At 49.7% G+C, this 13,615-nt stretch overlaps 1 protein-coding gene across 7 annotated transcripts in view, besides 2 other annotated features; it reads right to left on the reverse strand.

Annotated features, from left to right (window-relative positions):
* The window catches only part of COL2A1 (collagen type II alpha 1 chain), a 33,246-nt gene extending 27,198 nt beyond the window's left edge, over positions 1-6,048 (reverse strand). For 3 of the 7 annotated variants that reach the window (XM_017018830.1, XM_017018829.1, XM_017018828.1), the window contains exons 1-3: positions 5,891-6,048; positions 5,437-5,565; positions 4,073-4,133 (exon numbers count right to left, since the gene is read on the reverse strand). In XM_017018830.1, coding sequence (XP_016874319.1) covers positions 4,073-4,133; positions 5,437-5,565; positions 5,891-5,926 — 226 coding nt within the window. In that variant the 5' untranslated portion in view covers positions 5,927-6,048. Of the gene's footprint in view, positions 1-820; positions 1,390-4,072; positions 4,313-5,436; positions 5,566-5,890 lie in introns of those variants that run through there. The other 4 variants (NM_033150.3, NM_001844.5, XM_047428315.1 and 1 more) reach the window with 3 other exon arrangements.
* Positions 10,182-10,683: an enhancer, noted in NCBI's record as "H3K4me1 hESC enhancer chr12:48404129-48404630 (GRCh37/hg19 assembly coordinates)". NCBI's record gives its function as "activates a minimal SCP1, AML or CMV promoter by ChIP-STARR-seq in primed H9 embryonic stem cells {active_cell/tissue: H9 hESC(primed)}" and the evidence as "EXISTENCE:reporter gene assay evidence [ECO:0000049][PMID:30033119]".
* Positions 10,684-11,183: an enhancer, noted in NCBI's record as "H3K4me1 hESC enhancer chr12:48404631-48405130 (GRCh37/hg19 assembly coordinates)". NCBI's record gives its function as "activates a minimal SCP1, AML or CMV promoter by ChIP-STARR-seq in primed H9 embryonic stem cells {active_cell/tissue: H9 hESC(primed)}" and the evidence as "EXISTENCE:reporter gene assay evidence [ECO:0000049][PMID:30033119]".

Here is a 13,615-nt window from a genome sequence, read left to right on the forward strand (position 1 = left end):
GAAGGAGGGGGTGGGGAGCCAGAGAGAAAAAGAGAGAGGTTGCAGTCAACTTGACAGAATTCAAATGCTGAAGAATGTAGGCTGGGGCCACCTGGACATATAGAACTTAAAAATTATTTTCCTAAAACATCATTGATTTTTCCATGTATTCAACAAATATTTATTATGCACCTTGCACCATGTTGTCTATTCACCAGTGAAAATCTTGACCCAGCAATGAAGGTGGGGGGTTACTATACTATATTCTCTTTACCCACCTAATACGGGGGAGACCAGGTGATGGAGTGGGTGGAGGGAGTTGGAGGGTGAGCGGAAGGGAGGAGACAAGATATTCTGAATAGGAATTCTGGGACTATAAAAAGAAAGGAGACAGAAAAATGGCGAGACCTCCCTTCCACCAGCCCAGGAGCAGAGAAGTCTTCTTTCTTCTGCCTTCCTCTGGGAATTATGGGATTAGCTAAATACAACTGACAACTAACATTCAGAGGGAATGTAGAAAATTCTACCTACAAAAATTGGAATCTATAAGCAGTGAGGCTCCAAAAATAGGTATATAAGAAAGGGGGGTGAAAAGACGAGCTATTAGAATTAGGATCTTGTCTCATTCTTTGAACCATATTAGAATTAGGACCAATTTGGGGAGGGGGATAGACCCATTCAAACAATACACTTGGGGCTTGGGCAGGCTAATAAACTGCTTAGGAGGCCAGTGGAGCCAAAGCGCCCCCAGTGCTGACCTCCACCTGTAGCCCTGCCTGGAGAGGCCCTGCCTCCATCTGAAAACAGCACCCCAGTTTGGGGAGCAGGGGTCGTTGAATACCTGGCTAGGGCTAAGATTGGCCAGTCCAGGCCTGGCCTCCTCCAAGACTGCAGAGGAAGAATAGCAGGGACTAGTCTCCTCCACCAGCGCCCTGCCGTCTGGAATTCATGCTGCAAATGAAACCTGTGCTGACAAGAGCGCTCCTTAGCAGCCAAGGGCTGTAGAGCCCGCACCACGTGCTAGGGAGCGCCCAGCGCTGTTTTTCTCATCAAAATCCCCAAGGCAATAGCAGCAGCAGGGGATGAATAATAGGAAAGAGCCACAAACCCAGAGGGCGAGAAAGAAACGAGCCTGCCCACTGCTCTTTAAAGAGAGTGAAAATCCAAAGATAAACTTTCCTTTTTACTTTCCCACTAGAAGAAATCCGCCTAGCCTTTGGGCAAGATAATCACAGGAGGGTGAGGGATTCCAGGGAAAATACAGAAGTTGCGGGGACACACCCGCCGTTAAAATAGCTGGAGCAGTGGAATGCAGGCGGTGAGGAAGGTGTGGGAGAGGGGGCATCGGTTAATGCGCTCCAGCCCAGACTACAGGAGAGCCCACCCTCGCCCATGAGGACCCAGGGAGGAGAGGGGGAAATGCTAGGAGAGGGGCCACTCCCCGTGCGGATCAGATTTCCCGGGGAAGGGCGGCCCGGGAAGCGCCGGCGCAGGGGCGGGGCCAGGCTGCGCTGGGTGTAAGAGCCGCTGAGTGACTCTGTGGCTGCGGCTCTGGACACGGCTCGCTCACAGACACCGGGAGAGTGAAAAGTGGGATTAAATGACTGCCCCAGAAAGGAGCCAGCGCCGTAACCGGATCCCCTAGGTGTGGACGGAGGAGCCCAGCACCACCATAATTGCTGCTCCAAAACGGCTGCCGATAGCATCCCGGCGCGCCTGATCCGGTTCCCCTCATTACCGCAGGGCCGTATAAGTGATTCTTTGTGGCAAGCCAATTAAAAAGCTACCTCTTTCGGGGAACTGTTTTGCTTCACCGCCGCTCTGCGCAGGGCTGGAGCCGAGAGGTGGCGGCGGGCGGGCACAGGGGGGCATTGTGGGAGAGGGGGTCTGGGAGTACGAGAGAACCCACTGGACCTCGTCTCTCATGAATGGGGCTTTTCTCGAGCGCACACAGAGCCCGATTCACAGGTCTCCGCGAGGAACCAGTTTAAATAAATACGGGCAGCGTTTCAGCCCCATCTGGAAGCCATCGCTGCCAATCTCCCAATGCAAACAAGCCTCACAAAGGAGGATTGAGATCTCTCCCCTGAGCCAGGGGCACTTTCGGAGGCGAGGGCTCTGAAATGCAGATGAGGGTCAAAGACGCCGCCGCCAGTAAGTTTCTCAAACTCGTGGAAAGATGGAGAGGAGGGGTGTGGCCGAGCTCTAGGTGTCTGACATTCCTGACGTCCACGCAGACTGCGCATTTCCCCACGTCACACCTTTGGGTCCGCTGACCCCAGGCGGGGGAAGTTATAAAAGGTGGGATGCTCCAGGGCGCAAAATCAGCCTCTCGGATGCAGAATCACACTCCCTCTGGGAGGAGGAGCGACTGGAAGGTTTGGGCCGGAGAAGCTGTGGAATCACTCCCTCCCAGGAAAGATGCGGCGATGAGAGAGCTCTACCGCCTAATTAAGCAAGCGACCCTAATACCGGATGGAGAATTTGAGAATTATTTTAAAGCCACCCAGCTAATTCCATTGCGCACTAAGGCAGGGGTCAGTCAAGAAGACAGCTTTGTGGGCGTGTGCTTGTAAATGTAGTACAAAAATATAGTCAGTCTGAGTCCAGGCCACGTATAGTCACGCTGTATTCCTCAAATGCCCAGGAGCGCGCCTCCAGCTTAGCGCACTACCGGGTGACCCGGCCAGAGTCTCCTGCTCCCGGCTCCTCGCAGCTGCGCCGCAGGCTCCAGCCCTGCCCCCGCTGCGCTAATGACCGGAAAGCCCGCCTGAGCCCGCCGCCTTCCACGCTATCCCTGGAAACAGCCTGGTGGCAGGAGAGGGCCCACAGAGCCTCGAAGGCAGAGAACTTTTATTCCCCCCGCCGAAGAGTTTCCCTCTGCGATTGATTTACAATCTGTAACATACAAAGACAGGGCTGGAATCCCAGCCGTCGGAAACGTGCCCAAACACGTGGAAAAAAAAATCCTCTCTACCTAATACACTTTCCAGGCTTCGTTTGTCCTGAATATAATCCCAGACAGTGGACCTTACCAAAGGAGGGGTAGAAAGGTGCAGTCCGAACAGCATTTGGACCCGACTACAAGAGCCATCTCTAACTATACCGGTTGAAATAGTTGTAGCAACCGTAGCAATCGACCAGCCTGCTCCCCTTCCCTGACACACACATACACACACACACACGCACACACACACACACCACGCAGCCTGGCTCGGTGAGTTCCAGAATTTAGAAAAGTAACTCATTGTAGTACCTCGGGGCGGCGGGGAATGGGGTAAGACCGCGGGGAAGGGGGCGCTATTTTCGGGGGCATTTGAAAAGCACGGTCTGGTTGGAATGTTATCGTCTTTCAGATGGCCTCTCCTACTGGAAGTTTCTGTACCCTTTATCAGAAGAGAGGCGCAGGCGGACGGAGGGAAGTCGAGATGAGCGCTAGGGCTGCACCTTGCTCCAGGGCCAGCTGGGAGGGGGAGGGTACCCTAAAGAGGCGCTGAGGTCTCAGAGGGCCTATCGGAAGCCGTTCTTTGTGGCCTGGGATTTCAGCCCACCAGTGTCAGAGTGTTAGTCCCCTTTGTCTAACTCTGCTTTGAGCCCACCAGCCACCAAGCCTTGGACAGGCTGTGAAGTCAACCCTTTGGCGTTTGCTTGCTCCCTCGCTCGCGCTCTCTCTTTCCTACTTCACCTAAGTTCGATGAGTTGAGATCTGTTTTTGCTGAACTCGAAGTGCTTCGAAGAGGCGAGCTGTGTGCATGTGCGCCTAATTATCAAAGCTGGTGGAAAAGAGCCCATTTATATCTGTGCGCAAACTTCTCCGAGCCAACACTTTGCAAGTTCAGTATTCTAGCGCAACGTAGGGACCTGCAAATACTTGCAACTGCGATGGGCACCGAGGACCCTGGGACAGAGTCCTTGATTGGCAGAACTCTTCTTGGTGAACTTCTGCGTGTCCTGTGCCTAAGTCGGCGCGCTACGACCCCGGGAGCCGTTTTAGCCCGGAGCCGCGGGCTCCAGAGCTGGAGCGGGCCGGGGAGAAGGATGCTGAGGGACGCATGGAAAGCAGGCAGGCAGGCAGGGGCGGGGGAAGACTTACGGACATCCTGGCCCTGACACCGAAGGACAGCGGCGACGAGCAGCGTCAGCAGCACCAGCGTCTGGGGAGCCCCGAGGCGAATCATGGCTCACCGCGGGGCCTGGCTGAGCCGGGCCCGGGCGGAGCGCAGCGAAACGGCAGGAGCACGGCGCGGGTCCGGGTCTCTACCGCGCCCTCATGCAGGAGGCCCTTGGAGCAGGAGGGGGAAGCGGGAGACCCGGCAGCCCAGCAGCGCTCTGCGTCTTCTCCCCGCCGCGGCGCCCGTTATATGCGCCCGGCCCCTTTCGAGGCTGGCGAACTCGCCCAAACCGCGGGCCGCCCCCTGCCCCCCGCTGGGCTGTAACCTGAACCGCCCGCCCCCGGAGCCCGCCTGGGCCCTGCCAGTGCCCGCACCTGCCCAAGCCGGACCCCCCTCTCTGGGAGTCACGCTTCCCGCCCTCCACCCCTAGTGCGCCGAGTGGCCTGATCGGGCGGGGCGCAGAGATGGCCCCTGCCCCCCAAACCCGGGGCTGCGGCGCTGCCCCCCTCTGACCACAGGCGGGAAGGGTGGCCTCCGGCCCCTCCCCTCGGAGTTCTGCCGGAGTTGGAGGGGAGGGGGTGTTTGCAGAGGCGCAGGCCGAGAGCCCTAGACCAAGGACGGAAAAGACATGGGAGGGAGGAGGGAAAGCGGTAGAAAGGAGCAGCGGAGGGCGAGGGGGCACCGCGTCAGGCGTTTGGGAGTGGGGACAGGGAGGAGCCCACAGAGATTCAGAGTCCTAAATCTTGGAGACAGGCTAGCTGAGCCAGATCTGAAGGGTTACCCCGACCTATCTTTTAGCCCTTCCCTGCAGTACCTGGTCCCCAGACTCCCACCTGGACGTTCACAGCGACTGCCCTCCACCCCTCCCCCATCCAGCTCTGCGTTGAAGGCTTCCTCTGGAGCACAGGCCGAAGTTGGCCTGAGCCGACAGCCAGGAAAAGAGCTGGTGTGTTACTGCACAGAAGGAGACCTGTGTGAAGGTGTGGGGGGCAGGGGCAGGCCCTGGGAAGGGGACTGAAAGAGCCACAGAGGACGGAGGGAGCCGAGACTAAACGGTGCAAGCTGCCTGCTGTGGGGGGACTGTCTAGCTCCAGGCTCAGACGTGGTGTCTGCTCTTCCTGGCTGGGGTCCGGGAGTCCCCCGGGGAGTGGGCACTGCCGGCCGTCGTAGAGCAGCTTTGGCCAGGGACGGTTGGTCACTGCTGCGGCCCTGGCCAGGGATCGGGGAGGCCGATCCAGCTGGCGAGTTCTGTGAGCCGGGGAGAAGCGCCAGAATTTCCCAGTCGGCCCCCTAGCCCTCCGCTTGCCGCCTCACCTCACCTTCCCCGGTGAGCGCCCTCTCTCACCTTAGCCAAACTGCCTTCTTCCCAGGGCTTAGCTGGTCTCTTCTCTTGGTCTCCGGTGCCTCCTTTCATACCAGGGAGGAAACGTCCCCAAACAGACCTTCCTTTTGAGCGATATGGTCCCCCAAAGAACTATAGGCAAAATGAAACTCAGAATTTGGGGTCTGACTTAACCAGAACTTCTGCCCTCCTGGGCAGTTTTGTTTCTCTGGAGCTTTCCCCCTAGAAGCTGAGAGCACTTGAAAGAAGCTACTTCTGGGCCTTAGGCTTCCACCAGGGGTCCTGGGACCCCATCCCTAGCCTATCATGCTTTGACACTTGTCCTGGTAGAGGCTGGAGTTCCAAGTGCTCTGGTTGGAAAGGGAAAGAACTCATTGTTGAAGGAAATGCTTCTAGGCTTTGTCCAGTCTGGATGGAGATGGGGAAGAATTCAACCAGTTTCCAGCATCTCCCCTACCTTCCACGGGCCTTGTCTGAGTCTCCATGCTCCCATTCAGGGGCTTGCATTAAGCTCTGGGCTCTTCCTCAGGCCCAATCTCTGCTAGAAGAAAGCTGGTCTCTTGCCATCAGTGCCCCATGTCCTCTTTGGGGCTCAGAAGGTCCTATATTCTCTACCTGGAAGATAGAATGACCAAATTCCACACATTTATCAAGACCTCCTAGGTTAAAGCCCCTCTGAGAAGCCTTCTCTGATATCTCTAGAACACAACGTCTCCCTGGCTTTCTGAATCCCCCTGGCATTTATAGCCTAAGCTACATATGTTTTTGTGTAGTTTTAATTTTTTCCCCTTATATCCATTGGTCTTTATCTCATCAATGAGCTTGGAAGATGCTTGGGGACAAGAACTGTGCCTAGCACAATTCTAACACATAGGAGTTAGGAAAGCCCCTGTGGACTAATAATTTAGATACAACTATAAAGGCATTTATACAACTGACTTCAAATACAAGTTGTCATAAAAATTCAACAGAAAAAAAAAGAATTTGGGAGAACACACTAAAGTATGTGGAAAAAATCGAAGCCTAGTTCAAAATGATCCAGTTTAGTGAGTAGCAAAGTGGTACAGACTCGTTGCAAATTTGTTCTTAATTTCATCCTCTAGCTCTGTGATTCATCTTTGCCAATAGACTGTGTCTACATATAAGAGCTTTGGATTCCTTCCAGCAATCATGGTCCATCTATGAGTACAAGTTAAGCTCTCCACCCACTGTGGGAAAATTTCTTTTCACCAGCAACGGGAATTGACATAAGAAAAATAAAATTTAAAATTTAAATTGACAAAGCCAAAATAAACTATGGAAATTATTAAAATTCTAAAGCCAATTGAACACCAACATTAATATTTTACCCATCTGTGACTCCAAACAACTAATTAAAAACCTCTAATTTGTGACTCAAACTGGAATTAGACCTATATGTGGCACACATATGCAAATCACTGATTTGGAAATTGATCGTCCAACAATCTCACTATCCATACCATACCCAAGAAACTGAAAAGAAGGGGAACTAAACCACTAAATAGCCAGAATTGATGTTATATAAAGCTATGCATTTTGTGCACTGTAGAGTCCTTCTTACTCCATGTCTGCTAATTCATAGTTTAGATATTGTATTAACACGTAATGGCATCTGACCTCACCAATTAGATGCAGAAAACTAGAGGTGAGATAGGAAAGCAGCAGTTGTTGATGAAGCACAATGAGAACAGGAAAAAGGGAGAGTAAGAGAGGACACAGAAAAGCAATGTGAAGTTGACACAACAAATACAAAACATGGTAGCCGAAGGTCAGTGGGGTAGGGTCAATGCCCTTACAGTCATCAATGCTTCCAGGGAATATCCCGATCTACAGCATCTGCTGTAGTCCCTGCGATTCATAATGATAAACTGAAATGTCCAATAAAATGCTAATTTAAGTTTAATGTGGTCTCTTTGAGGAGACAGGAAATATGTATTCCATATTTGAGAAAGGTTGTAAATAAATGTTCATTCACTTAATGTGAAAAATATTCTATCATAGCAGTGTCAGACTAATAAGGAAATGCTGCAATTTCTGGAGCCACTGAACTGAAAACAAAGAGCTTCTGTTTTCCCCAGTTGGTAGAAGAAGAGCATCGATGGCCGAGATGAGTGTCCCACATGGCCAGCCTCACTTACACCTTTAAGTACAGCATGGGTAACTGTAGGTAGAACAGTTAGAAATTAAACAGGTACAATAGGGTGCTGTGCCTCACACCTATAATCCCAGCACTTTGGGAGGCCAAGGCCAGAGGATCACTTGAGGTCAGGAGTTTGAGACCAGCATGGCCAATATGGTGAAACCCCATCTCTACAAAAATATGAAAATTAGCTGGGTGTGGCGGTGTGCACCTGTAGTCCCTTAGGAGGCTGAGGCAGGAGAATCTCTTGGACCCGGGAGGCAGAGGTTGCAGTGAGTTGAGATTGCGCCATTGCACTCCAGCCTGGGCAACAGAGCGAGACTTCATCTCAAACAAAAGAAAGAAAGAGAGAGAGAGAGAGAGAGAAAGAAAGAAAGGAAGAAAGAAAGAAAGAAAGAAAGAAAGAAAGAAAGAAAGAAAGAAAGAAAGAAATTAAACAGTCACAATCAGTGTATCTACCCCAAGTCAGCCCAATTCAGAGAAACAGATGGATTAAATCAGCAATATTGTGTCGTGTAGACAAAATAACCATTTCACTATTTTTCTCTCTTTTATGGAGGCATTAAATTTAGACTCAGGTTGACACAGCCTTATTGGGAAAGATATTTGTAGACAGGCTGTAAAGAAAAGATATCTTTCTCTTCCTCTACACAAATCCCATTTAAAAATAGTGATAAAGTGAAGAAGGATTCACATTCCAAAGAGGTAAGCCCACCCCAAATATGGCAGGTGGTGAATGCACAGACTTCACACAGCAGCCGTGCCTGGGGGTGGTGAGCCCAGCTTACTCAGTGACACTCAGCTTCTGTTGGTTGGGCTCCGTTCAGACAGTCTTTCAAGATGTGTTTATGTTTTCCTTTGGCATTTTGGGGGCAGAGTAACAGAATCAAGACTGTCCAGGATAGGGTTTTCCAGATTTATGGTGTACATTCCATTCCATAGGAGCATAAATGTGTTACTATGTATTCTCAAATGCAAATAGCACCAAGAATCCCACCCAGTCTCCTCCATCCTGTCCTAGTGCCATACAAATTCAGCTTAGGACTCGTACTGAGCACCTACTTCTGTATGAGATGGGGATACAGAGAGGATTTAGATACCACCTCTGCATCTGTAGGGGAAATAGGAAAAAAATGATTGTACAAAATGCTGCAAAAAAGGTATCCCACTCTCCCCAACCCCCTAAAAAAAAAGAAGAAGAAAGAAACAGAAAGAAAGGAAAGAAAGAATGGCATTCTGGAAGCCATGGAGTAAGCTGGGGGGAGGTTTCCTAAGAGAAGCATGTCTCCAAGCATGGGTGGGGGTTTGAAATGCAGAGGTACAGTGAGAGGGCAGGATGGCTCCCAAATGGAAGCAACGAAGGGCAGATGCACCAGAAGACATGGCAGTGGCCCCAGGACAATGTGGAGCCATCTGCAGGGCCCTGGGAATAAGACATGGCAGTAAGGGGTGAAGGCAAGGCCAGACATGGAGGACTCCTTGAATGCCACCGAGTCAGGCTCAGATCTACGTTTCTTCTCACTTTCCCCTCTTCTTCTTACCTCCTACTAGCTAGACCTTTGCGGGAAAAGATAAAGGTGTCTGGGCTTTTTAAAGGCTTACATTTTGAAGAAATGTCTGTATTTTTATACAGAAATGATCTTCCCATTTCACTTTAAAAACAAAGACAACAAAAGTCGTGCGAAATATTGCATTTTCTTAAGGTGGGTAGCTTTCTGCCTTTAAGGAGCATTTGTCTCTCTCATCAGCTCTTGATGGTTCTGAGCTCTAGGAAGAACACAAATGCTTAAATGCAGAGATGTTTGAGCACTCCCAGCAGAAGTTCCATGTGAAGCAAATGGTTCTACAGTAAACCACAACCATTCCCAACAGCCACAGAGCATCTGTTCCAGGCACTTCTCAAGCAATAACACAACATGGGGGTTCCAAGGGATACCCTTTGAGAGGTCAACAACCCACGAGACAGGTGGAACTCTCTCTCCCCATCTCTCTCCCTTCCTTGAACTCCTATTGCATTTGGGTATGGCCAGTTCTATGGAGTTATGCCTTTAGATCATCATCCATCCATCTGTCCATCCATCCATCCCTTCCTCCCTCAAACATGTGAAGAAATCCCATGTGAGTCTATTCACATGCCTCCTTGAGAGCAGGGGCCATAACTTAATACACTTAACTTTTCCCCTGCAAAGCCTGCTTGGCACAGTGCGGTCACATAGTAAATGTGGTCCATGGACCAGCGGCATCAACCTACCCTGGGATCTTGTTGGAAAAGCCGAACCTACCAAATCAGAGTTGGCTTTTACTAAACTCTCCAGATAACTCATATGCCCATGAAGGCTGGAGATGTGCTGGTCTAAATCTTGGTCCACGGAAAGTTCCATACGACCCTGGCTAACAGAGGGGTGTGGTCTGCATGGTCTGCAGTCACACATGACTGGGCTCAGGCCTGCACTGGAGGCAGACAAGGCAAGGAGGAGCCTGAGTTAAAGGTGGCAGAAAGGAGAAGTGAGTTTTAAGGAGAGGAATGGATGGAGGACCCTAAAGGAGATGATGGATGCATGACTTTGTAAAGCCTCCTGCGGTCTTTTTTTAAAGCAGGTGGTGGGTCACTTTTCCTATGTCCCTTTTTTCCAGTAGGAATTGGGCTCAGTGCAAGGAAGAGACTGACCCATGATTAGAACTGGAGCCCTGGATTCCATGGAGACAGTGTCAGGGCAGAGCCAGCAGGGGAGCGGAGTCAGCCACCTGAGCCTCCTTCCCGTGGTGGCCCCTTAGCCCTGCCCCCCAGGGACTCCTGACTGATGAACTCCTCCTAGGTGGGACATACCAAGGAAAGCAAGGAGCTAACTATGATGTCCCTAGGACTAGTAGGGTAGATGCCACCTCAGAGAAAGCCAGGCCCCTGCAAACCAAGTTTATCCTGCTCCAGTGCGGGGGGCGGGGGGCAGTGGGCCTGCCCTCTAGGAAGTCCCTGAAAAGCCCCAGGGAACATACATGTGGTAAGTTTCTAGTGAGCTCCTTTGCCAAAAACAACCTTGAGAGGGAGCAGGACAGTGCATGCTGCCCTTCCCCATGAGGGCCCCTCAGCTGTCCCCACACCCAGCACCTATCCGGAGGCAGCCAGGGCCCCATTGTGTTCTGCACCGCCCCGATCTCCACTCCAGCCTCCAGGCCAGCTCCTTAGCTGATCACCCACCCACTGCCCTTGACACTCTCCCTCCCAGAATCCTGGGTGCAAAATCTTGGGGTCCTGCTCGACTGTCTCCCCTTACTCTATCCTCCCTCCTGTCCCATTCCCCCTCTCATTCCTCGGCCAGCATTTCTTCATCCCCTGTGTTGAGCACAAGCTATGCGCCAGGCACTTGCTAGGTGGTATGGAGGGACAAAAGAAAGCTCTATTAGACATGAATCCTACATGCAAGGAGATGACTACCTCTCGGGGGATACACAAAAAGCCAAACTGTAAGGTAAACAAGTTATAATATATTGTGATGTCATGTGGCATTCTATGATGTGCTGTAGCACAATACAATGTCATGGACAGAAGCGCTCTGTTCTGCCCTTTCACTGAAAATAGCTCTTCCTGACACAGGCTTGGGTAGTGAAAGCAGCTTGGTCACATCTGTCCCATGGTGTAACTAATCTTTAGGATCTGCAGAGACCTGCCTTCCTCTGCAATTGTAACTGTACCTCCAATCGTGAGTTTCGTCTGGCAGCTTAACTGGGCTACCAGCGAGGTCCTCATAATGGCTTTTGCTCCTTGCCTCGCGGAGACCCGACTCTGGAATCCTTAGCCAGTGGTATATGAGCTTCTTTCTCATGGGGGATAGGAGGAAAGAATCCTGCATGTGCCCCAGTTTCCTCCCATGCAAGCCTGTCAAGAGGCCCATCTTTATCCTAAAAGTGCCTAGAGGCTGGGCGCGGTGGCTCACGCCTGTAATCCCAACACTTTGGGAGGCCGAGGCGGGCGGATCACCTGAGGTCAGGAGTTCGAGACCAGCCTGACCAACATGGAGAAACTACTAAAAATACAAAAAAATTAGCCGGGCATGGTGGCGGGCACTTGTAATCCCAGCTACTTGGGAGGCTGAGGCAGGAGAATCGCTTGAACCTGGGAGGTGGAGGTTGCAGTGAGCCGAGATTGTGTCATTGCACTCCAGCCTGGGAAACAAGAGCGAAACTCCGTCTCAAGAAAAAAAAAAAGTGCCTAGAAACTTACCACATTCTTAATGCTTTCCTGGGTAAAAATACAAAGAAGTGAGGGTTGGCTGCCTTTTAATTTCCCCAGATTAGATGCTGCAACTGCACTTCCTGGCTCCGTCCTCTTGAGCAAGTGAATTCGCTTCTCTGAGCATCAGAGAAGTAATCGGTAAAACAGGGATAATAGTAATTTACTCATGGGCTTGTTGTGAGCAGTAAATGAAGTAACAAACATAAAGCCTCGGGAGAATGCTTTACACGGGAGGCTTAGAGTAAATGTTTATTATTGCAAGTACTACTCTTCTTGGTCTGCATCTGATTTATTTACCCTTCCTGCACACACCTGCCGTACCACAAATAGACAATATCATTTATCTGTTTTTAATTTGGGTCTCATAAAAATTTTTGTCTTAAGTTATGTTTGCATGAGTTTGGATTATAGCTGATACGATCTAGGTTGATTGATGAATATCCTGGAATTTAAGGTATAGCGCTGAAAACATCTTAATTGTTTTAAAATCTGTTAGGAATAAAAACTAGATTAAGAAACTTTCAATATTACCTGGAAAAAAAAAAAACTTGGCACTGGGGATAAGTGGCCCCAATTCTTCAGCACAAGTTTTCCCTAAGAAGAACAGGAACTTCTAAATTGATCATAAAGGCTCGGAAGGCTTGGATAGGTATTGGCCTTCTCATTAGTTACCAGCTTAAACAAAAAGATAAGTATGATATAACTGTGGGAAGATTACTATTTGGGAAAAAACTGTCTGCAAGGCCTTTTAAATTTGGTTTGATAAGAAGCTCTAAAGGATCTAACTCAAAAAAATAAGAGGGAAAAGCTGGTCCTTCTCATGTCTGGATAGTGCCAATACTATATTTTGTAGTCAGAAACAGTTTAAAGTGAGTGAAAAAGATACCTGATTGTATATAGGTGTTTCTGTTTCTTTAAATCTTGCTTGGAGTTTTGTAACTTTAATTCTAAATTACCTATCCTGATTCTCCATGATCTTTGTACTTAGTTGTATTAATAAAAGTTTCTAGTTTGTAGGGAAGATGTATTTAAATAGAAAAGTGAGGCTGGGTGTGGTGGTTCATGCCTGTAATCCCAGCACTTTGGGAGGCTGAGGTGGGAGGATCGCTTGAGCCCAGGAGTTCGAGACCAGACTGGGTAATATAGCAAGACCCTAGCTCTACAAAAACATTTAAAAATTTAGCTGCGTGTGGCATTCATGTCTGTTGCCCTAGATACTGGAGAGGCTGAGGCAGGAGGATCACTTTAGCACGGGAGGTTGAGGCTGCAATGAGCCATGATTGTACCACTGTACTCCAGCCTAGGTGACAGAGCAAGACCCTGTCTTAGAAAAAAAGAAAGAAATCTTAATTGAAAAAAAAAAAAAAAGAAAAAGAAAAAAGAAAAGTACACGTGCCAGGTCATTCAGACTCAGTCCTCAGATAAAACAGAGTTCACCTGTGACAGAGGGTCACAATTGCAGGCAAAGTGCCCAGGAGTGCTGACTTGGCAAATGCAACCTAACTGCAAACATCACACCATTCTCCTTTTCCACAAGTATTGTAAATATCTTACATGTACTTGTGAACATACTGAATATATTTTGCTCTTGATGAGGTAATAACTACTGATATTTACTAAATGCGAGCATTTAGGAAATGTTAGATTTCCCCAATATTAATGCCTTTCATCTGTCCACTTCTGTGTGTTGGTCTTTGGCATTAAAGAGCAGCGAGTACCTTCGTGTAGCACAGATTATGAATGGAGATAACACTCAGTGGTAACACTGGCATGGTTCTCTAGACTGAGAA

This window comes from Homo sapiens, chromosome 12, assembly GCF_000001405.40.
Source record: "Homo sapiens chromosome 12, GRCh38.p14 Primary Assembly".
Lineage (NCBI taxonomy): Eukaryota > Metazoa > Chordata > Mammalia > Primates > Hominidae > Homo > Homo sapiens.